Source organism: Homo sapiens, chromosome 21, assembly GCF_000001405.40.
Source record: "Homo sapiens chromosome 21, GRCh38.p14 Primary Assembly".
Lineage (NCBI taxonomy): Eukaryota > Metazoa > Chordata > Mammalia > Primates > Hominidae > Homo > Homo sapiens.
Genome location: NC_000021.9, coordinates 24,424,339 through 24,452,067, shown reverse-complemented (window position 1 = coordinate 24,452,067; position 27,729 = coordinate 24,424,339). Strand labels below are relative to the sequence as shown.

The following is a 27,729-nucleotide window of genomic DNA, read 5'->3' as shown; positions in this document are numbered from 1 at the left end:
AAGCCATCTCTCTTGGAGCTTCAAAGAGTAATAACCCAGATAATTCCTCTGAGAATGCCAAACAGGTTCAACGGTATTTGAAATGTCAGCCACTGTACTCACATTACTAGGAATTTTGGAATAAGTTCTTAACTGCCACCCATAACTGTTAAGATTTTACTATAAAGTGACTTGAGGCTGCTACTAAATACATTTCTTTGAAAGGCAACTGTTATTCTGGGCTTTATTTAAAACTGCTTTTATTATTATTATTATTAAAATTCTTCATTATAAGAATGCATAAATTATTATTTGATATCATATACCCATCATGAAATGGACTATGTCAGAACAACATTCCAGTAGGGAGGGAAATGTACAAACATGTTTCCACATCAAATGCTCAAGCACCTGTGTCGGAGGACCCCTGGAGGCACATATTGCCTACATGAAGAGTTTCTTCCATGTCTTTGAGTCTTGTTATTTTGGTTCCTCCTGAGGAGTTGCCCTCACTTCACTGCCAAATGAGTTCCTATATATGATCAGTTACTGGAGGTTGCTAAACAAGCAGCAGATTGGCCAGGAACGGTGGCTCACACCTGTAACCCCAGCACTTTGGGAAGCTGAGGCAGGCAGATCACCTGAGGTCAGGAGTTTGAGACCAGCTGGCCAACATGGCAAAACCCCGTCTCTACTAAAAAATACAAAAAATTAGCTGGGCATCATGGCGCCCACCTGTAATCCCAGCTACAGGGAGGCTGAGGCAGGAGAACCCAGGAGGCGAAAGTTGCAGTGAGCCAAGATCGCGCCACTGCACTCCAGCCTGGGTGACAAATTGAGACTCCATCTCAGTAAAAACAAACAAACCAACCAAAAAAACAAAAAAACAAAAACAAAAACAAAAACAAAAACAAAAAAAACACAGCAGGGTTTACTTTTCAACGGTGGAGAGCTGGCCTTCAATCTGGAAGCAGCTGTACTACAACTGGTGGATAATTGCACGTACTTCATAAGGGGTGAAGGTAAATCCACTCATTGGGAAGAAAATGGTGTTGCCCATGCTATCAGAGAAACTGGGGAGTGATAATAATAATAGTGTATGGATTTATATCAGTTTTGGACAGTAGCCAATAAACTGGCTATGTGGTCAAAAAATGGGCCTTAAATGACTGGAAACTAAAAGGAATCACAGTGTCGAGTGCTTATTATGAAAAATTATCATGCAGTTAGAGAAGGAAAAAAAAAGCATTTCTTACTTCAGCAGGGGAATAAAATAAACAAACTGATGACCTCAATCTTTTATTGGAAGTGGCCTCTTAGGTAGACATAATGAGAGGTAATTAAGTCATTTGAGCAATGCAACAATTAGCAGAATAAAAGGAGAATACTCCACTTTCTTCTTCAAAAATTTAACTTTGAATAACACTTGGCCTTTTGTCAAAAGACATATAAGCCTAAAGACAGTTATGTTTCATGTTACCAAGAGGATCAGGCTGACCCATAAATGACATATCTGTTACATTTAACCACCTTCCAGGATTCTAACTGAATAATTAGGGGATACTGACTTAAATTATATTGATTCTGGATTTGGACTTGCATATCTGATATCTGGTACCTGAACAAGATGCCATAAAGATACTAGGGGTCTTTGGCTAGAAACATTATTTCAGTTTGGATCCACTGCTTTGTCAAATGATGAAGAGATCATTTTTCTGCAGGTGCACCATAACACTTGTTTGAGGTTAAGAAACATGTACGATGAAAGTATCATTTTCCTTACAAGTCACAAGATAGTGGACTGATTTAAAAAAAAAAGGACAATTGAAACACCTGTTTGTAAAACTGAGGTTTCAGAAAAGACCGAAGAGATGAGTCACATGATTGAACAAATGTATGTAGAAGTGAAGAGGTCACCATCTAATCAATGGTTGAGATAAGGTAAGGAATATAGGAAAGCGATAATGGGGAATGGCATAGGAATTTACATACATTTTCACTTCTTCTATTTTTTTTTCTCTGCCTAAAATTGCAGTGGCAGGAAATGGATTAAATTTATGAAATCCTAAGAAAAGCTTGGTCACTAAACACGACATCATGATCATACCTTTAAATGTTGCTGTGAAAAAGAGACTTAAATATAATTGACATAAAAATAGGATTCCTAGAAAAGGATAAATGAACCTAAAAAACAGTCATATTGAGGGAAAAAACGTTGATTTTATTGGCTAATTAGAAGGGATGATATTTAAAAAGTGTCAAGAAATTTGAACACATAATATAGATTTAAAAATAGATTACACAAACTCAGCAAACAGTTGGACAACATGTTAAAGGAGGTCAAATTTGGGAAAGATCATGGACACTGATTCAAGATGAAAAATGAGGCATATTCCTACAGATATTCAAACAGACAGGTGAAGCATCTTGTTAGTAGAAGTACAGTAAATCGATGTACAGGATAATTATTATCCCACCAATCTATGAGAATTTAAACAGGTGGGGTATAATTTACACTTGGTTCCTCTGCCAACACCCAATGCCCAAATTAAAAACTGGCTGTGGGATCTCCTCCAAAACGATTTCTACCTGTTAATATCTGATACTGATATTACTTTACATTGTATATGGAACTTTGTGGATGTGATGAGTTGAGGATCTTTAGATGGAGAGGTTACCCTGCATGTGATCACAAGGTCCTTATAGGATGGAGTCAGAGGATCAGAGTCAAAAAAAGATGTAATGAGAAGAAGTAGAATTTGGAGGGATGTGGAGACACAAGCTGAGACATGCTGGTGGCCTCTAGAACCTGGAAAAGTCAAGGAAATTGTTCTTCCCTACCTCTTCCAGAAGGAATGCAACCTTTCCAATCCATTCTGTACAGAATATATCCAGAATGCATGTTTGCATCTGGTGACTGTTTTGACCTATTTCTGCTATTGAATATGGCCATGCTTCCAGAGGGTTATAAAATATAAAAAACACCACCTTGAGTATGAATGAGTCTTCCCCAAGCCAAGATATTATACATTTTTGGCAGTTCATGGTCTGGAGACAAATTACATCCTGTGTGATTGACAGTTAACCCTGGAAGATATGCCTCAATGTCTCAATCATCTTAGATGTTTGTCTGTATTTTCTTTCTACTGCTGTATTTTATCCTTTGACCATCATAAAAATCTTACAGTAGTATCCCTTGTTAACATCTTGAGTAATTGCTGTAATTGAAACCCTGTGTTGTCTCGAAATGCAGACACCTTGCAGTACCTGAATCTTGAGTGGGGGTCTGCTTATTCATGTGATTCATATTCAATTTTATTGGTGCTTTTAAATCACAAACAAGCGGCTGTTGTCCTGCAGATCCTGAAGAAATCAGAATTGCTAAAATCTATATTTTTAATTTATTTGTATAGTTTTTTAAATTTGTAGAAAATACTTATTCTAGGTTTTGTATATTGCTTTAAATGTATACGTTATGCTTATAAATTTAAAATACTCACATGGAACATATACAAATGGAAAGCACATACAGTTAAAAATATGATTAGTTTTTAACATTTTTACTTTGCAAAATGTTATATGAATAACCTGTGAAGTAAGAACCTCCTTGGGAATAAAATGAAAATTTAACAAATCACCAATTAATGTCAATGTTTCTTGAGAACTTATGCCATGCTTAGTGCTAAGTACTAGAGATATAAAGAACCCCAAACCAAAATTCCACCAAGCTTACAAGTTTGAGGGTTAAATGAACAAAACTAAGTTCAATAAAATCTGAAGAATTCTAAGATTATGAAAACTATAGATTGACATGAAAGTGCTGGTTTCATGGGTTATGTTTAACACATTTAATCAAAATGAATGGAGTGGGGTAGTGGTCAATAAATATATTCTGGAAAAAATTGATAACCAACTAAGATGCCAAGAATAGGTGTTAACCAGAAATCTCTGGGCCTGGGGAAACTGCACTGGGTAAGTGAGATTGAATGAACATCACATAGCAATAAAGAAAACAGGTGAAAGTGCCTTTTTTGAAGAAGTAAAATATTTCCTGTTGGCGAATAACAGAGTAATTGTGGTGGTAGAGTGACATGGTTTGATTCTGTGTCCCCACTCGAGTTTTATCTGGAATTGTATTTCCCACATGTCAAGGGAGAGACCTGTAATCTCCAAGTATCAAGGGAGGGAGGTGATTGGATCCTGGGGATGGTTTTCTCCATGGTGTTCTCATGATAGTGAGTGAGTTATCATGAGATCTAATGAATTTATAAGTGTTTGGAAGTTTCTCCTCCAGTCTTCTCTTTCCTGCCCAGTTGTGAAGAAGTTGCCTGCTTCCCCTTCCACCATAATTGTAAGTTTCCTGTGGCCTCCCCAGCCATGATGAACTGTGAGTCAATTAAACCTGTTTCTTTAATACATTGCTCACTCTCGTTCCATGGATGTGAGATATGGAGTCAAAGGAGATCATTTTGGAGCTTTAAGATTTAATGACTGTCCCACTGGATTTTGGACTTGCATGGGGTCTGTAGCCCCTTTGTTTTGGCCTATTTCTCCCATTTGGAATGGGAGCATTTATGCAATGCCTAAATCCCCATGGTATAAAAGTTACTAACTTGATTTTGATTTTACAGGCTCATAGGTGGAAGGCACTTGCCTTGTCTCAGATGAGACTTCAGACTGTGGACTTTTGAGTTAATGCTGGAATGAGTTAAGACTGGGGGACTGTTGGGAAGGGATGATTGGTTTTGAAATGTGAAAAGACATGAGATTTGCTAGGGGCAAGGGGCAGAATGATATGGTTTGGCTCTGTGTTCCAACCCAAATCTCATCTTGAATTTAATCCCCATGTATCAAGGGAGGGACCTGCAATTCCCAGGTGTTGTGGAAGGGAGGTGGTAATGGATTATGGGGGCAGCTTCCCCCATGCGGTTCTTGTGAAAATGAGTGAGTTCTCATCAGATCTGATGGGTTTTTATGTGTTTGAAAGTTTCTCCTTTGCTATTCTTTTTCTCGCCAACTTGTGAAGAAAGTGTCTGCTTCCTGTTCCACCATAATTGTAAGTTTCCTGAGGCTTCCTCAGTCATGCCAAATGGTGACTTAATTAAACCTCTTTCCTTTATAAATTACCAAGTCCCGGGTATTTAAAGCAGTGTGAACACAGACTAATACATGGAGGATTGTAGAAATGATATCAGATCACACCTCAGAGGTGCAAGAACACAAGTTTACATAGTTAGCAGTGGGGAAGAGACCCATAAGGTAGAATTCCAATGGCCTCTCATGCCCCTGTAGCACCTAAATGGAGAAATCATTCAACGTAACAATTTCCTGTTTCCGGTAATATGCTCCACCTATTGATCAATATTGGCTTCACAATGTTATTCTGGGTTTTACACTTGCCTTTCCATTTGAAATATTTTGTAACAATCTCCAGGTGATACCACATTTATCTCTTCAAAATGAGGTGATATCTGGAAATTAAATGAGCAAACCATTTCATCTTCCATTTTATTGTTGGATATTTTAAATAATAAAATAAAACATGCAGCAGATGTATGTTCCACTTATTCTGCCTGAATTGGAACCAGTGCTGAAATATTTTTATGATTTATTTTGCAGTCTTCAGTATTAATGAGGCTCTTATATAGTACATTTGAGAAAATGAATATATGGACAAACACACACAAACACAAACACACATATGACCACTTTTGCATTCTTGGAGTTTCCTATAGAATTTCAGATAATGGAAAAACGATGACCGATATTTTAGAAGTAAAATATTTGCTTCATGTACAGAATTGAATAAAAAATTATTGAAAACAAAACCTGTACATTGTTTCCTACCTTTCTGAAAATCCATCAGTTTCCTTCATTCTGGGATTCAAGCCAGAAGGATGGTGATATTCAAATAATGTTGTTTCCCTATGGTGATATTTATTATTCAATTAATTTTTTGATGCTTCCATCTCCTAGTTGCAAGAGTAATAAGAATTCCCCTAATTACTTTGCATGGCACATAAAGCTGTTTTGAGTGTTCTCAGAAAGCAAATTCTAATTAAGAAACTTAAAAAAAAACTGGGAAGTAATTTTACCTTATGATTTTCAGTGACTGTTGAAATTAAGGGTCAATATAGCAACAGTCAAGATTATAAACAAACCAAAACTCAAGTCTGTATCAAATCCTTTTTAATTTTTTTATAGTTTACAGAATTTTTAATGTAATTTTTATATTTATTATCTAGATTAAGTCTGTGATAATGAGGTATGAGATTCAGAATTATTTACAATGAATTTAAATTTAATAAATATTCTGAAATGATTATAGCCTTACATTACCTGGATTTTTTTTTTTCTGTTTTTGATATTTTGATGACTGTGCTGAATGTTTGCACAGTGGTTATTGTGCAGCCGATCAGAACTCTCCATTTTAGTCTGATGTTGTTACAAACATGAACAAATATGGTCACAAATACATTACTCCAAAGCCTTTATAGCAGAGATACTTCTTCATTTCATCATGTAAGCCATTTTAGAGGCTGGCATCACTATGAGTTAACTATACAATCAAGTATTCAGTCCAGTTGTGCACATATTTCTATAATCTTTCAGTCAGATAAAATGGCTATGTGGGAAAAAAGAAAGATAGCTAGAAATCAGATCTAAATTCTGGTCAAGAAAGTGAAAAAGTCCAGGTAAGCACGCAGGCTCTAAAGTCAAACTACTTCGTTCTAATCTCAGCTCTGCAATTTACCAGCCCTGTGATGCTTTGCTTCTCTGCTCTTCTTTTTTGTCTATGTAATAGGCTTAGTGATATTTCCTTTTTCACAGAGTTGTTTGAAATATCAATTATTTAATCAATAAAATCACATAAAATAGTCTCAAAAATAGTATGTGGTCAATTAATTCTTGTTTTTACTATTGTCACTGGTTACAGAAAACTAGGACATAACTCTACTTCTTGTAACTTTAACCAAAAAATGAGATGGTAAAATAAGCAAGTATAAATATAAACAAATTTTATTTCCAAACAATAGTTGATTATTATCTCAGAATTCTATAGTATCAACCTTCTGCCTTAATAGTGTTTCCTTTTATTTGCTCTACTTCACTCCTATTTAATTGCCTTGTCCAAACCATGGTTTCTACTACCTTTTTACTCTCTAACCACCAAATGCTCTCACTTTCCATTTTACTAAACTTAAATTCTGTGGCCTATCATCATAATCTTCATCTTTCACATATCCACAATTCCCATTAACATCCTCATTTTATGCAAGTAGGAAAAGCACAGGTTAAGTCCAATTATTTACTTGTTCATATCTTCTCATCATGCAGGCATGAGAGGACTAGTGAAAAAAAATCATTATGAATGACTTCATTTTAATTTGATCACCTCCAGTAGGCCCTATACCTCTAGGGAATCCTATAATCTTTCCCTGGACTAATTACTCTTCAATTATCTTAAATAAATATTTAAGTATCCTATTTCCTCAAACTTCCAATGTGTAGTACTGCCTTCAGACATATGGAGAAGTAAATAATTAAATGGTTTCAAAATCATAGATAGGGATTAAGATGCATTTTTTAGACTGGGTTTCCAAATATGGGCTCCAGAATAACAGACACATTAGTAGAAGCACATAATTCAACCATCTTTGAGACTGTGTTGGAATCAACAGTCCTCTTTTGCAACTCTGGCTGCACCAACACCATTATTACTTGAAATCAAAGAATTTGATAAATGGCATCTGTACATCATAGAATATCTGAAGCTGTCGTTTTCTCCACCTGCAGAAGCAATCCTTGAGTGTCAGGAAAATGGCTGCTGTTTTACTTCACCTTTCCAAGTTTGTTTCAAGTTTATTTAATGATCAGAATATCATTTGAATTCCCCTCCTCCCCCGCCACACACACCTCGACATTTCATCCCCCTTACTTCTATGTCCATGAAACTTACCACATCAAATGATGTACTGTGTGCTTTGTTCACCTTTGAATCCTCGTGCCTCCGAAGATGCAACCTGAGACCCCTCATCTTCTGCCTTCACTGGGCACTTTTGTCTTGACTTACGGTTTCCTTCTTGACCCTGGTGTGGGAACTTGTTCTTGTGAAGGCATAGGGCTATACAGACAGGAAGTGTGAGGGAGTTAATTCTTCATAGTGTGAACTTTTACCAGTTGGAAGCCAACTAGCTTTGTTTTCCTGCAATCATACTTTCTGAATTTCATCAACTCTGCATTGTACAGGTCGAGTATTGTCAATATTTTTTCATCTTTCTCCACAAACATCTATAAATACATATAACTTTCTTTTGTTCTTCAGTTTAATAACATGTACTCACAATTAAATATTGTGCTTAGATCCATCAAAATCCAAAGTTCAAAGAATCTTTGTCTGTGGGCAGTAGAATCTATTCCTCCTTCTTTCTAACTTGAGATAAGTCTCAAGAGATTACACAATAAACATGTTGCTCCTATGATGGTGTCAGCAGTCTCAGAAATTCATCATCTTGGTCCATTTTGTGCTTCTATAACAAAATACTTGAAACTGGGTAGCTAATAATAATCAGAAAAGTATTTCTCATAATTTTGAAGGCTGAGAAGTTCAGGATCCAGGCTCTAGCAGGTTTGGTTGTCTAGGAAATGGTTGCTCTCTGCTTCCAAGATGGTTGCTTGTTGCTAAATCCTCCAGAGGGGGAAATGCTGTGTCCTCACATGGTGGGAGGCAGAAGCACAGCTAGAACCAAATGGTGTGTGAAGCCTCTTGTATAAGGACCTTAGTCCAACTAATGAGGGAAGAAGTCCTCATGACCTAATCACCTCTTTAAAGCATCACCTCTTTATTTTTTATTTATTTTATTTTTATTTATTTATTTATTTATTTATTTTATTATTATTATACTTTAAGTTTTAGGGTACATGTCCACAATGTGCAGGCTAGTTACACATGTATACAAGCATCAACCTCTTAATATCATTGTATTGGACCAGGCATGGTGGCTTATGTCTGTAATCCCAACACTTTGGGAAGCGAAGTCAGGCAGATTACTTGAGGTCATGAGTTGAAGACCAGTCTGTCCAATATGGTGAACCCCAACTCTACTAAAAACTACAAAAATTAGCTGGGTTTGGTGGCACGCGCATGTAGTCCCAGCTACTCAGGAGGCTGAGGCAGGAGAATTGCTTGAACCTCAAAGGTGGAGGTTGCAGTGAACCGAGATGGTGCCACTGCACTCCAACCTGGGTGACAGAGAAAGACTCTGTCTCAAAGGAACAAAACAAAACAAAGCAAATCATCACATTGGCAACACCTGAATTTTGGAAGGAACACATTCAAACCATAGCATTCATCTAACATTCATTGTTGTGAAAGACCCATAGAAAGTTATATTTCTATGAGATGAACAACACAAGTGCTATGAGTTGAATTGTGTCCCTCCCCCCAGAATTAATATGTTGAAGTCCTAATCTGTAGTACTTCAGAATGTAACTGTATTTGGAGATAAAATATTTAAGGAGCTAATTAAATTAAATTAGGTCGTTAGGGTGCAGATTTAATTTAATATGACTGGTATCCTTGTAAGAAGAGGAGATTAGATTGTAGAACACACAGACAGAGGGAGACAGTGTGAGGATACAGTGAGAAAGCACACAACTGCAAGCAGAGTGGAAAAGCCTCAGGAGGAGTCAAACCTGCAGACACCATGTTCTTAAACTTCTGGCCTCCAGAATTGTGTGAAAATAATTTATGTTGTTCAAGCCATTTAATGTGTCTTATTTTGTTATGGCAGTCTCAGCAAATTAATGCAATTAGGTATTCACTAAAATACTTAGCAATCATTTAAAATATTTTTCCAGTACTATTTTTGCATTTTATTAAGTATGTTTGCCCCCTTTCCATTTAAAAAAATACCAAATAGCTAGTCTCATCAAATAAAACATTATAATTAAGTACTTTAAAAAATATCTCACCACATATATCAAACAATGGACATTTAGGCTATTTTTAGAAAGGCAATTAAATAGGATATTTAACCAAGAAAATTCACTTTTGTTTAAAACTTTCAAAGTAGATAATTTTCGAATCCTTTTCTCTTTTAATGTGTTAGACTTTGGACATGAAAAATACAATCATGCACTTCTAGTGTTTTCTAATACAGTAGTTTACCTACCTCTCCAGAAATCTAAGTATGCAGATGTTGGATAACAGCTACTGGACAGAGGTGATCCTACAATTATATTATTTCTTCATCACGTTGCCTTGTCCAAATACGTATAAGCTGTCTAGAGTCTGTAACAACAGGGCCTCAGTTAAACACAAAAATAAAGTGATTATATGAAGAATAATGTTTGTATCAAGATGCAAGATGTTAACAAATAATTCATCTAAAGGTTAAATTATAATCATCAATAGAATATATCCATTTTCTATAAATTTTATATGTGGAGAAATTCAAGCTAAAATAAAATAAGTTTTATTGGAAAATGTGTTCAGTATACTATCCCTTAAAATTTTTAATTGAGCTGTGTATCCTCTGTAAAAAGGTTTGAGATGCAGAACTCTTGACAATACAACCATGAAATGAGAGTTTGCAAAGAAGTCTATGCAGCCACCTCATCTGGCTGCCATGAGTTTCTACCTCTGGTCACAATGCTTGCCTGAGAATATCGGAATTTGTTTTTCTCTTCCTTCCAATATTCACATGATTTAATCCCACTGGTAAACTCTAACCTGGAAAGAGATTCTTGGACATGTAGTTTCTGCATTCTTCTCTTGACTACAGAGGAGACCTTGGATGCAAACGGTAGTCATGTAACTCACAAAACACAATTTCTCTTTCAAAGGTTTCAATATTGTAGATTTGCCATCAAGAGACCAGATAATCTTTGAGAAATAGTGATATATGATGCTGATCCCTGTTAAATATGCAAGGATTGTAAACATTAGTAAATAAATTGGTCTTGGAAAGTATAAAAGTCTCTGTACTTGGAACCATGCTTAACCCCATCTCTGCCACTGTTATGACTCCGTTTATATTGGTGTGTCCTGGGGTGTCCAAAAACAAATACAGTCAGAGACTGAGGCAGGAGAATCGCTTGAACCTGGGAGGCGGAGGTTGCAGTGAGCCACTGCACTCCAGTCTGGCTGACAGAGTGGGACTCAGTCTCAAAACAAACAAACAAACAAACCAAATACTGTCAGCATATGGACAATCTGTTGTCCACTTTGTTATATATGCTGCCTCCATATTCCTCTAACACAGTACTCCTTGTCCTTGAAGTTCCAGTACTTGTACTTACAGGCCCTGTCATCCCCATTAAGATGCTAATATATTCCCAGTCCTTCCTGCTGCTATAGCTCTTACTATTGGTTACTCCAACTGCTAAGAACATCAATCCCAGCAGCGCACCTACTGGACCTCATTTATTATATGGTCCCTGTAATTCCAGACTGTAAAAGGGGATCCACAATGAGACTTTGGGTATCCAAATTGTAACTGGTCCAGGAATAGAGCAAAGAACCACGATTTTTATTGGGATGACTCTCATCACCCTCTTACCCTCTTCTGAGTGTAGATATTAAATAGAACCTTATTTTTTACTTCTAAAGAAGACAGCTTCCACTGTCACTACAACTCCCAGTGTCTGACTTTCTGACTTTGCCAATTCTTATGAATTCTGTGGTTATGTGCCACCATCTGGTCTCTGTTGATCCAGGATGTCATATTCTCCATCACTATTAACAAACTAAACCCTGTGACTACCTCTTCTACCATCAGTCCTGATCTGCAAAAGATAGCTAATCTTTTATGATGTTGGTGCCCTAATTAACAGCATATTTCTGATGATCTTAGTGAATAGTGGGTCTTCTGGGACCTCTCATATATGACAATCATCTGGTAAGTTTCATGGCCTCACACAACCTCATTTTATCACAGCTACTTTTCTGAGCTTTTTAAAAATTCCTTCCTCTACCATCTGGCATAGAAACATATATTTAAACTTCATGTAGCATAGACGATTACATTTTCTAGGCTTCTACTTAACTGTGGAGTGAATTTGCCCTACACCCTAAGGTTCTAAACCAAATGTTAAATCTTGTGTTTCATAAAGGGCCTCTAGTTAGTGATTTATTACTTATCCATTTTACATTCTAGGTCCCTTGATGAAGAAGTCTCAAAATATACTTTAGTCATATTTCTCTTTGAGGCCCAGCATATTGCCAGATGGCTTATACTGGAAATTAATGGTAATTATTGGTTAACATCTAGGACACAAGGTAGGCCACATTCCTATAGGAAACATCTATTGCCTTATGAGGAAGTGAATTGTAAAGGGTCTTTTCACATGTGATATGGTTTGGCTCTGTGTCCGCACCCAAATTTCATTTGGAATTGTAATCCCCACGTGTCTACAGAAGAACCTCGTGGGAGGTGATTGGATCATGGGGGAGGTTTCCCCATGCTCTTCTCGTGATAGTGAGGGAGTTCTCACAAGGTCTGATGGTTTAAAAATGGCAGTTTCCCCTGAGTTCTCTATCTCTGTCTCTCTCCTGATACTGTATGAAGATGGTGTCTGCCTCCCCTTTGCCTTCCACCATGATTGTAAGTTTCCTGAGGCCTCCCCTTGCAGAACTTTGAGAAAAATAAACCTCTTTTGATTATAAATTACCCAGTCTTAGGTAGTATCTTTATAGCAGTGTGAAAACAGACTAATGCAACATGGTAGAAACGTAAACTCTTACTTAAGAAGGGTGGGCCAAAAACATGTTGCACATATTAAATATAAACAATTTTTTTTGAGACAAAGTCTTGCTCTGTCACTCAGGCTGGAGTGCATTGGCACAATCTCGGCTCACTGCAACCTCTGCCTTTCAGGTTCAAGTGATTCTCCTGCCTCAGCTTCCTGAGTAGCTGGGATTACAGGCACCCGCCAACACACCTGGCTAATTTTTGAAATGTTAATAGAGACAAGGTTTCACCATGTTGGCCAGGCTGGTCTCGAACTCCTGACCTCAAGTGATCCACCCGCCTTAGCCTCCCAAAGTGCTGGGATTTCAGACATGAGCCACCACGCCCAGCCAACAATTTTTTTTAAAAGGGTGAGTCACTGTTGCAAGCTGGCATAGATATAGCATGCCATATTTTAGAGTTTCAGATTTTCTCAATTAGGACCTGTTTACAGCATGACAGATCTAATTTAGCTAATCATTTCAACATATTTGGAGCTCTGTGACTCTACTAAGACTTGTACTTGCATCTCAGCTGTATCCTTTCTTACACTCCTTATAAGCTGTATAAGAGGCCAACTTTCACTGTTAAATATTATTTGTGCAATGGCACCAGTTTTTTTTTTTTTTATCATTTCTTTGTGGTATCTCAATACACCTTAGGCTTTAGAAGTTAATTTCATTATCCTAACATGCATACCCCATTCATTGCCCTTGCCCTTTCAAATGTCTAAATCATCTCACTGAGAAGAGCTTTCCCTTATATCAGTCTGTTTTCCTAGGTCACCACTGGTGACATATTTGTAAGTTGGGTCACCACCTAGTTTCAAAAACTATCTGCACCCAACCAAACATGCTACTTAGGATGCAATATTGATTGCCATTCAGAAGGTGGTAACACAATTATTTTACCTAATCTTACCACCAGCTTTTTCAAGCAACTTCAGTTCCCAATTGTGTCAGCTTATGTCTTCTGGGATGCACACTCCAGGATAAAATTAGAAGAGCGGTGATTTGGAGGGAGCAATGCCTATGAAATTTGAAAAATGAGCGAGTGCAAAAATAGGCATGTCAAGTCTCAGGCTCTGATGTAAGTCTGACACCTGTGAAGGGAGAGAGAAAAGGAAGAAAGATTGGAGTAAGAAGAGCAGGGCAGCTCTGAGAGGTTTTGCCAGGTCTCCAAAGAGGTTAAGAGAAGAAAATACCCATTAAAGGAATTCCACTTTTGACAAAAATATTTTAATTCTGTCAATCTTGCTATGCTGAGGCATTGGTTAATGGCATTTCCACTAAGAACACGTTCTTTTTTTTGGGGGGGGATGGGGAGGGGGACAGAGTCTGTTTTCTGCTTTTCTTCCTTTTCTTACATGTATCATATACGCATTGCAGTCGAAGAATTTCTTTCTCCAACTCCAATTTGTCCTCATTTTTATCTTTCACAGGTATTAACCCCTAATAAGCCTCTTGGACACCTCACTCAATCCCAGCATTAACTACTCATAATTACATATATCCAAGAAGTCAATAAATCATTATCTGCAAATGTACACTTTTAAATATATAGGTGGAACAATTACCCCATTAATTTGACGAGTGTAAAACATAATTATAGCTGACTGAAACTTTAAACAGTTTTTTATTGTTGTTGTTGTTGCTTTGTTTTGCCTTTTTTGCTAGTGGATGCATACAAATTGTTTTATTTCAATTATTTGGACCGTTTTCTTCTTTTACCTCTTAACATTATATATGAAAGAATTTAACCAATTGCAAAAGTGAGTCTTGTAAATAAAGTCCTCTCTATTATGGACTTTAACTTTGTTCTTAAAATATCATCATAGGGTATGTAAATAAATACCTTAATAATACTACCCTTACCCAAGGGAAAAGTGTAGTAACAATACAACAGTTAACTCAACTTTTTATTTTTCAAGCGTGCTATTTACTGTAACATCCTTTCTGCTTGGATTCTCAATGATCCATTCTTGGGTATTTTTACTGGTATCTTCCTTTCTGTCTCATCTTTGTCTGTCAATTTAACTTTTAGATGCTGATACTTTAAAGTATAAGTATTAAAGGGGACTTTCCATTATATCCCAAATTCTGTTATATATTACTACAGAGGATTTTTTTTGCCTCCTGCTAATCGCTCATATATTATGATTATTTACTCATCCGCAAGTTTCATAATAATATATATCTCAATAAGGACTATCACTTTAAAGTTTAAATTTACTTCTTAAATCTATGTATTTACATGAATGACTTTAAGCTTCTGTATTTGTTTTAAAACATCTGTGTGTATTTTTTCATTTTTTTTAAGGGGTGAGGTCTCGTATTGTTGTCCAGGCTGATCACGAACTTCTAGGCTCAAGCAATCCTCCAGCATCGGCCTCCCAAAGTGCTGGAGTTACAGGCATGAACCATTGTGCCTAACCATAGAATTATTTGTACGTTTTTGTTATGAAAGATTAGGGTGACTATAAATAAATAAATTGTGTGGTTGTAGTTCAAGTTAGTGTTACTGATTATGGTAAGCAGAGTTCTAAAGATTCCCATTTTCAGGGAATTAATCCAAACACAAATCTCAGTACTGCTGTCAGGGGACTTTGCAGATGTAACTAAAGTGAATCAGCTCCCCTTAAAATAACGACATTACTCTTAATTATTCAGATGTGTTCAACATAATCACAGAAGCCATAAAGACAGATAATTTTTCTTTGGTTAGGGGCTGAGAGATATGTCAGAAGATGAAGTCAGAACACAAGAGGAAGAAAGGAAGGTGAGAGAGTCTTGAAGTGTGAGGAGGTAGGAGGCCTCTGTAGGCTAGATTGACTGCTGGCCATTAAGGAAACAGGGACTGCAGTTTTACAACCACTGGGCACCGGATTTGAGCAACAACTTGAATGGGCATAAGAGCCAGTTCTTCCAAGAGTCTCCTGACAAAGAGCCAAGCCAGCCAACAGCTTGATTTTGCCCTTGTGAAACTGAAAACAAAGAAACCAGCTGAGCCAGCTTGGATGTTTGGCCTACAGAACTGAGAAATAATAAATCTGTGTTCTTTAAAGTTATTACATTTGTGGCAACCTGTTATAAGAGAAAGAGGAAACTTACAAACTGATAGAGGATTTTTTCTTAGATTTTATATTGTAAATTTGCATATAATATGAATACCAAGCCTTTATAATATCAGATTGGTGGAAAGGTAATTACGGTTTTTGCAATGCAAAGTAATAGCGAAAATCACAATTACTTTTGCACCAACCTAATACAATACCCAGATTCAGTCTGAAGTTTCCACTGGGCTTCAAAGATATTTTATATTCTTTCTGCCCTTTGTGTGGTGACCATGGGGGTCACATGCTGGAAACAGTGGCATCAAAGAGGTAAGGAGACTGTAAAAACAGGTTGTTACTTCAAGGATTGCCACTCATGTGAAATAGACAATCTTCATTGAAGTGTGCCACGACCTAGAAGTTAAACATATAGTGTTAAACCACTGAGATGTTATTGTTCTCTTGTGTATGTGTGTGGGATGGATGTAGAGAAAATCATATAAGCAAAACGTTTCGTTATTCTGCTTCTGAGATGTTGGGAGGTACTTCATCCCTCCTAAGGGGCTCAGTGAATGCATTTGATGAAAAGAGTATGCAAAGAAAGTTTTGACTTACAGTAATTTTGACTTATTCTCAGATGATGGAAATATATATGGGATAACAAGAAGCAGGTATCATTGTTTTTTTCAGTGTTGATATTAAGTATTATATTAGTCCATTTTCATGCTGCTCATACAGGCACACATGAGACTGGGTAATTTATAAAGAGAAAGAGGTTTAATGGACTCACAGTTCCACGTGGCTGAGGAGGCCTCACAATCATGGCAGAAGGCAAAGGCACATCTTACATGGTGGCAGCCAAGACAGAATGAGAGCCAAGTGAAAGGGGAAACTCCTTATAAAACCATCAGATCTCATGAGACTTACTCACTACCATGAGAACAGTTTCAGGGAAACTGCCCCCATGATTCAATTATTTCCCACCAGGTCCCTCCCACAACATGTGGGAATTATGGGAGCTAAAATACAAGATGAGATTTGGGTGGGGACACAGTCAAACCATATCAAGTATTTCTGTTTGTTTGTTTGTTTTTTGAGATGGAGTCTTGCTCTGTCAGCCAGGCTGGAGTACAGTGGTACAATCTCAGCTCACTGCAACCTCCAACTCCCAGGTTCAAGCAATTCTCCTGCCTCAGCCTCTCTAATAGCTGGGATTACAGGTGTGCACCACCACGCTTGGCTAATTTTTGTATTTTTAGTAGAGATGGGGTTTCACTATGTGGGCCAGGCTGGTCTCAAACTCCTGAACTCAGGTGATCTGACCCCCTTGGGCTCCAAAAGTGCTGAGATTACAGGCATTAGCCACCACACCCAGCCCCTATCAAGTATTAATATGAGTTTCTCCTGGATCCAACAGTCTCATCAGGTATAAAATTAAATATGCTAGTGCAACATCTTTGCCTTTCCATGTATTCTCCTTGATATGCAGAACTAGGGTTGATAATGGCCATGACCTCAGCAATATTAACACTATTATGGTTGGAATATTATGCAGCCATAAAAAAGTGAGATCATGACTTTTGAGGGAACATGGATGGAGCTGGAGGCTACTATCCTTAGCAAACTAACACAGGAACATAAAACCAAATACCACATGTTCCCACGTTTAAGTTGGAGCTAAATGATAAGAACTGAAGAACACAGAGAAGGAAACGACAGAAACTGGGGTCTATTTGAGAGTGGAGGGTGGGAGTAGGGAGAGGAACAGAAAAGATACCTATTGGGTACTGGGCTTACTACCTGGGTGATGAAATAATATGTACAGCAAACCCCTGTGACACATGTTTACCTATGTAACAAACATTCACATGTACCCCCAAACCTAAAATAAGTTAAAAAAAAAAAAGAGCACACATCTGGTTTCTCAGATGGTAAGAAATACATCTGAGGACAGAAAACAAAGGGATCAAGGCTGGGAGATGGCACTAAGCATGTGGAGTTAGCCTAAAATCGGAAGGTTACTAGAGGTCCTTTGAACGAGGGTATGACCTGGTGAAGATGATTTTATTAACAGTGTGAAAGATGAATGTGAGGGTCTTGACACTGGAGGTAGAAACTGACCATAGTGAGCCAGCAGTGCTGGAGAGAAGGAGACAGATGTGAGAACTATTTCAGAAACAGCATGTGGCAACTTGTAGAAGTATGGAGTGTTGAAGGAAATGAGGAAAGGGCAGTCTGCAGAAACTAACAGTTCCTGTCATTGATGTTTTGATGATTTGTATCACCATAATCTGATTGAAAGTGTTCAAGAGGAAAAAATATGCCCTATGCATTTTTTTAAGTTTTATTTTTGTAGATGGGGCCTTGCTCTGTCATCCAAGCTATAGTGCAGTGACATAATAGCTCACAGTAACCTGGAACTCCTGGGCTTAAGCAAGCCTCTCACCTCAGCTTCTTGAGTAGCAAGGATAACAGGTGCACCACCATGCCCAGCTAATTTTATTGTTTATGTATTTATTTATTTATTTATTTTTGGTAGGGACAGTATCTCACTATATTGCTCAGGCTGATCTCGAACTCTTGGCCTCAAGCAATCCTACCATTCTGGCCTCTTGATGTTCTGGGATTACAGGCATGAGCCACCACATATGTTTTATGCATATATTTTTCTCTGAGTTTCTTCAAATGTGGTTTCATGTTCATAATCTAAATTTCAGTAGAGATGAATGGAATTGCTATCATGTATTACCTGATACAACAGCTCATTCGGTTATTGTTCTAATTATGTGAATGAACAGGTTAATGTACTGTAAAATTCCAGTCTATAGAGAAAAGCATCACCAGGTCTGAGATCCAAATAGGACGTTTAGAGTGGTTTTACCTATGGCTTTTAAATTAAAAACCTAATGTGTTTTCACCTTCAATTAAGCACAATTGCCAAGTATAATTGACCATAGTAATATAACTAGTAATTTGAGGACATTCAACATGCACATGCTGTACACACTTAAAAATGGGTTTAGCTTATTTCATGGAGCTTTAGGCCTAGAAATCACTTCATGAAAAATCTAATTTAAACCTTTCTCTGTAAGGAGGAGAAATAATTATGAATTGCGGTTGCTCAGCAAGTACCAAAGGAAAAACCAGGCCTAACCCTTACATGAAACAAAGTCAGGACAAAGCATTCTCCATTTGTCATTGTTTCCAGAATTCATGTTTATTAACTAGCATTCCCATCTGTCTCCTTCTTCCATACTCACTCTCCACCAATCAATTCATAACCTTTTTTCATTCTCCTATCTGGCTACCAGGCATTAGTGGCTCAGATAGGATACATCACCAGTGCATTTTTAAAATGAGAAGGTTTCAGACACAAAACAGTGCTAGTTCCATTTAGAAAACTTAGGTATTAGTGAGATTGGAAAAGACAGGGTTAGAAAACGTAGATATTGGAGAGATAGAAAGAGACAGAGGGAGGGAGAAAGAGAATCTTGTCACTAATTTAATCCCATTAAAGAAAAACCTTAGATGTGTTCTTTCTGAAGGAAAAAAAAAAGGGAGAGGTAAAAATGTGGTTATGTTTAACCACACCAGATTATTATATATTTTAAAACCTTTCCAAATAACTATTTTTTATTTTGTTCATTCTCTCCATTGTGTGCTTTGTTTTTTCCTTTTTCTTTACTTTGATTTCATCATTATCATTCCCTTCTTTCTGCATTCTATAGGTCAATTTTTTCAATCCTAACTTTCTGAGATAGATGGGATAGATTAATTTTCTCATTTATGTTGCATACCTATTACTGGTCATTACTGCTATGTATTTTTGTCTTTATACTGCTTTTGTGCATTCTTCAAGTCATCACCTGTATTACTTTGGTATAATTCAGTTAGAGATATTTTTTAATTCTATTATGAATTTACAGGTAATGGATTGTTTAGTCTTTTATTTGTTGATTTCCAAGTTTGTAAGGACAATCTAGTTATCTTTTATTACTGATTTATCAATTAACATTTTGAAATATTTTACTATTTTATTATTTTATTAATTACTAAGAAATATTTTGCTGAAATTGTCGGTTTGTCTATTTCCCCTTGGTTTTCTGTAAATTAGTGAGTCTGCATTTTAAAATAGTATCATTAAGTTCTTATATATTTCTTACAACCTTTTAGGAATTCATTTTATTATCAATATTAAACATTCCATTCATCTCTAGCAATGTATTTTTGTCTTAAAATTAGTTCATCTGGCATTAATATAGGTTAATGTTTGATTGGAATATTCTTTTTCATTGTTTTTATTTGTAAATTTGCTGTGGTTATGATTCAGTGTTTCTCTTCTAAATAACTTAGGGTTTTTTTTTTCCATTTTGGAAGTATTTTTCATTGGCCAATTAATGTAATTTTATATATATATATATATGTATGTGTATATATATACATATAGATGTGTGTATATATGTATATAACATAATTATACATAAATATAATAAGTGCTTTCTATTTGTTCCTCTAATGATATATTTTTTCTCTCTTTGTTTTCCTTATTCTGTATCTTTTTTGTTTTTTCTGCTTCTATTCTGTTTCGATGTTATACACAATATTTTATTACCATTTAATAGTAATTGTTCCATAAGGAACTTCACATCAAAGTATCTCAGACTTATAAGAGTCTTACATTGCTGACTACTTTTTATTCTTCTCTAAACAATGAACTGCCCTTTTATTTCCCCCTCCACAAGAATATCCTATCATTTTGCTGTGCCTTAATTAAGTCTATATTATAAATTTTAAATAATATTGCTCTTTTGGTTTTATATAGTCAAAATTTATTTGAACATAGAATATTTATCTTTAACTTTTCACCTGCATGAACAATACATTCTAGTATTTCCTTCAGTATAATTATGCTGGTTACAAATTTTCTCTCTCTCCTTCTCCTTCTTATCCTCTCTCTCTTCTCTTTCCTCTCTCTTTTGGCTTTCAAATGTATACATATTACCTTAATTACAAAAGGGTATTATTATAGGTAGTAATATTTTTTTAGTACATGGCAGACTGCATTCAGTATACAGCATTTGCAGCATTAGAATTATTTATCTTTTTGTTTCTGGCTTTAAAAATATCTCCTATTTGCCTTTGCTTTCTGCAGAAATAGCAGTGGTAGATTTACATGTTTCATGCTGCTTAGAGTTTTGTGGATTTCTTATATTTTTATTGTTTTCATTTATTTCATTAGTATAGAAACATTCTTAACCTCTATCTGTTCATTAACTATAAATTTTTCTACATTCTGTATTTTTCTTCTGGTAATCCAGACATTAGATTTCTCTTACTATCCCCTGTATCTTTGATTTGTCAAAAATATACACTTATTTTTCACAACATGATAGCTGCAGTCTGTTCCAATTGCCTGAAATTATCCCCACAAGCATTTTGTGCAGATGACTGATTCAAAAGTTCAGAAATCAGTTCAAATATCAGTGCTTTAGAAAAAATGTCTCCCTATTACATCTGTTGACTTACCCAATCTCACCATAACTCTATTTTCTCCATTTCCTCATTTACTATTTTTTGTGTGTTTTTGCTCACTTTTAAACCTGAATAAACTCTATAACTCCAAGGAGCTTATTTGTTTAATTTATGATAGCTATGCCATCTATAAAATTGAAGACCAAATGTACTTAATAAATATCATTTAAATTAATAAATAAAAGCATGAGGTAATAGTTATAACTACATCATAAGATTGTTAGAATTACATAACATAATGCTCATGCTTTATGAGCATACTAATGCTTATTAGTACCATGCATGGCATCAAGCAAGGTTTCTATTTTGACCATCACCATTATCATATTACTTATACACACAGTAAGATAAAATACTATTCAATGAACTTGGGATCACAACCAAATTAATCTTCCAATTTTGGCGTTCTATGATATTCTTAGAAATGAATATCACTAACAAGTTAATTCCAATCTCATATCTATTTAAGAAGACAACATACGGAACTGCAACTGCTTTAACAAGTTCTATCTCTACACTGCCAAGAGCTTTTACTTTCCACTCATACGATATTCTATGGTCAGCTCAATCACCTGTTCCCTTGTATTCCTTCTTTTAATATTAGAAGATTATGATTCTTAAGTATGATTTTTATGATAAAATTTTAACCGCAATTTTTGAAATAACAATAATAAACTTTGAAATCTTAAAATTTCATTTTAACTCAGAATCCATAAAGAAATTACCTTCTCATATAAACTGAAAATTGTATGAAGCAAAATTTAAGTTGGTATTAAATTAATATTGTTTTACATTGGCTATCTTCCAGGGAATAGAGTTGGAGTACAATAAAGATGCAAGGAAAGCACATACTTCTTAGCTCTGCAAGTTATTAATAGGTCCAAATACAAGCAATGAACACATCATATTGAAACAAATCAGTTGGCAGTGGGATTTATCAGTTCACTAGGCATTTGAAGCCTGTTTAGTGATAATGAAATATCTTAAAACAAATTCTAAAAATTGTAATTTGTAGCAATATTTGTAATTTCTGTATTATGATCATGCTATATCCATTTCCAAATATCTTATCAACAGCCATTTTATACCTTAAATGAATAGTGATATGTCACATTTGATCTCTGACAATTTTGTTTACCACTATTATCACCACATCATTTTTATGGTAAGATAGCAGTGCTAGGAAATTCCATTTATGACAATTTGTACATTTTCATGAGATATCCTGAGCATCACATGCAGAGGACAGTCATATATTCACTCACCTTAGTGTGAGTGACCATGAGAATTGACTTTTCATGTGTGTAATACGTGCACATTACATGTTATTGAAATCTAAGAGAATATTATTTTAATAGAATAGTTAAAAAGTAATGCTGTATTCATAAGCAATAACTTGACTTTTACATATATATGTAGAAAATTCTCTCCACTCAGGAAATCACATTAAAATAAACTGAAACCATTTTTCTTATTTCAGTGGTCCATTTTGTGAAACAGATTTCAGTGAGAACAAAATAATTGAAACCTGTTGTTTCAATAACTCTTCCAACAAACTTAATAAAATTAATCCGTTGTACATCCAGACACAAACTGTCAGACTAAAAACTATAATCTGATGTAATTGAAACCTATTCTATTTGCCAAGTGTTTAAAAGGTATTTCCATATATCTCTTCCCTAAATTTTTATGAGGTGTCCGAAAGGACACGTTACTATTTGTAATATTTTTCTGGGCTCCGGATATGGCCAATTTTAAAAATGATGTGTTTGTTTTAGTTTCACTTTAAAGTGTTGTAAGATGTTAACCTCAGAGCTCAACCAACAGACCAGAATAATAGTAAAAAAATAAAATAAAAATTCTCACCTCTTTATATTCAAAGCTTTTGAAATCCTTGATCCTCCATGTCAGCTTGTGCAGCTTCTCAAAAGAGTTTCTCATGTTTTTCCTGCCCTTAACCTCCTAAATTGGGAAGGACATAGCTGTGAACTGGCAAGTTCATTTTCCATTCATCTAAACCTACAGTCACTTCCTACATCTACGACTTCCTTCCGGCGTCTTTCTCTGGGGCTCTTGCTCTCAGACTCGCCCTTTTGCTTTGAGGACTGGATTTACTTCTTTTAAGGGGTTATTTACTATTGTCCCAAATATACACATTTCTCCTAAGAACTTAGCTTTTTGAGAGTTTTCAGTTTTTTCTGATTGCCCATTTGTAGATCTAGTTCTGCACATTAATAAGATGCATAATTTGTGCCTCTCTGAAAGTGAGATTTTTTTTGTAGGTACCCAAGAATGTGGCATTTGCTTTACTCACTAAATATTCCAGTTAGTATTTCTAGTGATGGTATTCCCAGGGGTTATTCTAAAACACTTAAAAAAATGCCTCATTACATCTAACCATTAAAGGGAAATTTTACATGCCAAATACTTTCTGACTTTTGCCAACTTTAATCGATCAAATATTGGGAGTGTTAAATAATTCTTTAAATTTTAATTAAAGTGTGCTTTACTGAAGTATAGTATTTCTGACTTTAGTTGAAACCAGAGTACATTGTTTCCCTATAATTTTTTTACTTGGCCATCTTTATGAAAATTGCAATATAACATAGTAAAGATCTTTAAGGATTAAAAGTTTTAGGTAAAATAAGAGTACTTTTCTATTGATAAATCTTGGTCACAAACATGAAGTGTAATAAGTAATCTTTGCCAATGTTGTTCTTTTAAATTCTGACTCCCTTTTTCACGAATGTGCTATAATAGCCCTATAGTAAACATTCTTGTTGTCCCCTCAATTTTAAAAATATAAGATGATCCATAGGCTCTTTCTCATTACAAATTAATAGTACCTTTCTCATAGAACCGTTGCTTAATAGTCATTATTTTTGAACTGAGTGAATGTTTCCATGTAGTACTTCTTTTTTTCTTCTCAAACTAAGGGTCTTCAAGATGTTCATAAAAAATTGTTATCATAAAACTTATGTATCAATTTTAAACATTTTTTGTACCAAAATAAACTTATATTAACTTGTTGCAACTTTTCTTCTCTTTTCTTTTTTTTTTTTTTTTTTTTTTTTTTTTTTGAGACGGCGTGGAGTCTCACTCTGTCGCCCTGAATGGAGTGCAGTGGGGTGATCTCGGCTCACTGCAACCTCCGCCTCCCAGGTTCAAGGAATTGTCCTGCCTCAGCCTCCCAAGTAGCTAGGATTACAGGCGCCTGCCACCACGCCCAGCTAATTTTTTGTATTTTAGTAGAGACGGAGTTTCAGCGTGTTGCCCAAGCTGGTCTCAAACTCCTGAGCTCTGACCATCTGCCCGCCTCGGCCTCCCAAAGTGCTGGGATTACAGGCATGAGCCACCACACCCAGCCTGTTGCAACTTTTCCTAACTTGTCTAAATATGATCTAGTTTGAGGCACCAAGGAGAGGACACTGGTTTGACAAAAGCCCTATCAGAGCAACATGAAATCTGTGAAAATTGAAGAAAGAACAAACATCAAATTTATGGTAATCATTAAGTGGAAGAATGATCACATGATTAATACCTTATAAAAAGTTTATGGGTAATGTCCATCACAGTTTCCCTTTCATAAATTGGTACATTTGATGTCTTCATATTTTATGTAGGATTTTACTTGCATTCATTAATAAAATTGGCTTGTAATTCTCCTGAATTGTAATGTCCCCATAAAGTTAATTCCAAAGTTATAAAAGTCTCATAAAGTGAGTGGGAAATTTTCCCATATTTTCTATTCTGTGGAAGAAAAAAAGAGAAAACTTTATAGAAACAATGCCCCCAATAAATCAGCAGTTTACAACAGATAGCTAACTTTAAGAAGGGATGAGATAATGTTGAAGATGAAGCTTGCAGTGGCAGAACATCCACACCAATTTGCAAGGAAAAAAATTAATCCTGTTTCTGCCCTAATTGAAGCAGACAGAAGACCAATAACAGAAACAATAGCCAACAACATACATATCTCAACTTGTTCAGCTTCCATAATTCTGACTGAAAAATTGAAGTTGAGAACATTTTCTACTTGATAGGTGCCAAAATAATTGCACCGAGATCAGCGGCAGACCAGAGAAGAGCTTTCAGTGGAAATTTTAAACCAAATGGGATCAAGATCTTGAAGCAATTATTTTAAACATATAACAAGAGATGAAACAAAGCTTCACCAGTACAATCCTAAAGACAAAGTACAATCAAAACAATGGCTACCAAGAGGTAGAAGTGGTCCAGTCAAAGCAAAAACAGACTGGTCAAGAGCAAAGGTCATTGCAACAGGTTTTTAGAATGCTCAAGGCATTTTACTTTCTGAGTTTCTGGAGGGCCAAGGATAATAACATCTGCTTATTATAAGAGTGTTTTGAGAAAGTTAGCTAAAGCGTTAGCAGAGAAACACTCAACAAAGCTTCACTACCATGACAATGTTCCTGCTCATTCTTCTCCTAAAACAAAAACAATATTGTGAGAATTTCAATGAGAAATTATTAGCCATCCACTTTCCAGTCCTGATTTGGTGCCTTCTGGCAATTTCTGGGTTTCCTAACTTTTAAAATTATGTAAAGAACAGCCATTTATTTATGTAATAATATAAAAACAGACTGCATTGACATGGTTAAATTCCAAGGACTCTCATTCCTTTATGGAGGGACTAAATGTTTGGAGTCACTTATAAAAGTGTTTTGAACTTAATGGAGTGTCTGTTGAGAAATAAAGTTTGTATTTTTTATTTTTATATTTTAATTCAATTTTTCCATGAATTTTTGAAGTCTCATTATAGCTTCACGTTTAAATTGGGATGTGGAAGTTGACTCCAGGCTTTTGATTATTTATGATTCTTATTAATTTTTAAAAATTATTATTACTTAGGTGATGGCTCAGTTTTTCACACAGTTATGGTTGTTACCCCTCCTGTGAAGGCATTTGAATTTGTTAAAAACAAAGTATGAATTTAAAAGCATGAATTATTTTAAAAAGTCTGTGATCTCTAGACATCTGGCCTTGTATATTTTATTATTTCTTTGTGAATATAACATTGCTTTAAACTCTTACTCTCAAATTCTCGGCACATCACTGCATCCTCAGGACATCCTCTATCATGATTCTGCCAAGGTCAAATAGTTAGTAATTCACAATATCCATAGCTCAAATTCATTAAGCTCTCACTATGCTTCAGAGAATGTTGTTTCAGAGCATTTTACATAAACTTCACATGCATCATCGTTAGCATCCTTACACTGGCTAAAATTTTTTATAAACACAATTGCTCACTACATGAAGCATTCCCTTTATATTCTTTTAAAACAGAAACTAAAACTTTCAAAGTTTGTGTAACTTACCTAATGTTATATGGCTTTGAAATTTCAGAAAATGATGGAACTTTTTTGAGCACTATATTATACTGCCATATTTCACTTATTATTATTTTAATTTATGACACTTCTTCATTACCAGTTATACAAGTTGGAATGTAACATTCATATCTGAAACTTTTTTTAAAAAAAGTTGAGGAGTTTATTAGGGAAACATGAGAGGCATAGACACTCCAAGTGACAGAAAGAAAAGTCTGAAAATGTCCCTTCAAGCCAAGTGGGGGCCTGGCCTCGACCTCCCCAAATCAACAGGGCAACTTTTTTTATCATCATCTCTTCATATATGTGAGTACGAGATCCACTGGGGTAAGACAGATTCTGGTTTGACTTACAGCTGAATCTCAGACACCCTGTACAGTGCCTGACATGTAGAAGTGGATGAATCATTTGTGGAAGAAAATGAGGAAGGCGTAAAGGAAGAAAGAAAAGAGAAAGGAAGGGGGAGATGATTAAAAAAGAAAGGTGAAAAGGAGGAAGGGCAGAAAAGAGAAAGCAGAAGAACTTGCAGTTTTGTGTTTTAGATTCAGCGTGGTGGACAATATTGAGGAACAAGCCATTCCATTTTTCTCAAGCTTACTTAATTCCACATATTTGCCTTTTGTGATAATTTAGCTATGTCCACACCTAATTATAAAAGAGGGGGAGACATGTATTTTAGTTGGGCAGTCATGTTAATTATCTCTGCTAATTATCTCTGCTGAAGATAAAAGGGGTAAAATTTGGTAATATCATAGGGGTTTTAGCCACAAACACTTTGCCTAAATTCCTTTGCAATCCCTACTCTGTATATATAAAATATATTTTTCTTTATAGAAGGAATCCAATTTCCAATCCTTCCATGACACCTTTCCTAATTTTACTGTGTAACATATGCAATATATTAGCATTCAATTATATATTAAATTAATTTAGTGACCTGACTGTGAATATTATCTATCATAGCCAGTCTCTCTTCCACTTTCTCTGTCCTCGCTATGCTATTATCCTTGTTGTTTCTTGAATAGCCAAACATGACTCCGGCTTAAGGCTTTTGCTTTCACTGGTCCTGCTCCCTAAT

At 35.6% G+C, this 27,729-nt stretch overlaps 1 long non-coding RNA gene across 3 annotated transcripts in view; it reads right to left on the bottom strand.

Annotated features, from left to right (window-relative positions):
- Nucleotides 1–23,328, bottom strand: part of LINC01684 (long intergenic non-protein coding RNA 1684) — a 119,203-nt gene extending 95,875 nt beyond the window's left edge. The window contains exons 1-4 of one of the 3 annotated variants that reach the window (NR_135520.1): nucleotides 23,164–23,328; nucleotides 13,635–13,815; nucleotides 10,715–10,899; nucleotides 10,155–10,273 (exon numbers count right to left, since the gene is read on the bottom strand). This is a non-coding gene — a long non-coding RNA (long intergenic non-protein coding RNA 1684). Of the gene's footprint in view, nucleotides 1–6,983; nucleotides 8,105–10,154; nucleotides 10,274–10,714; nucleotides 10,900–13,624; nucleotides 13,816–23,163 lie in introns of those variants that run through there. The other 2 variants (NR_135521.1, NR_135519.1) reach the window with 2 other exon arrangements.
- Between the last annotated feature and the right edge of the window lie 4,401 nt (nucleotides 23,329–27,729).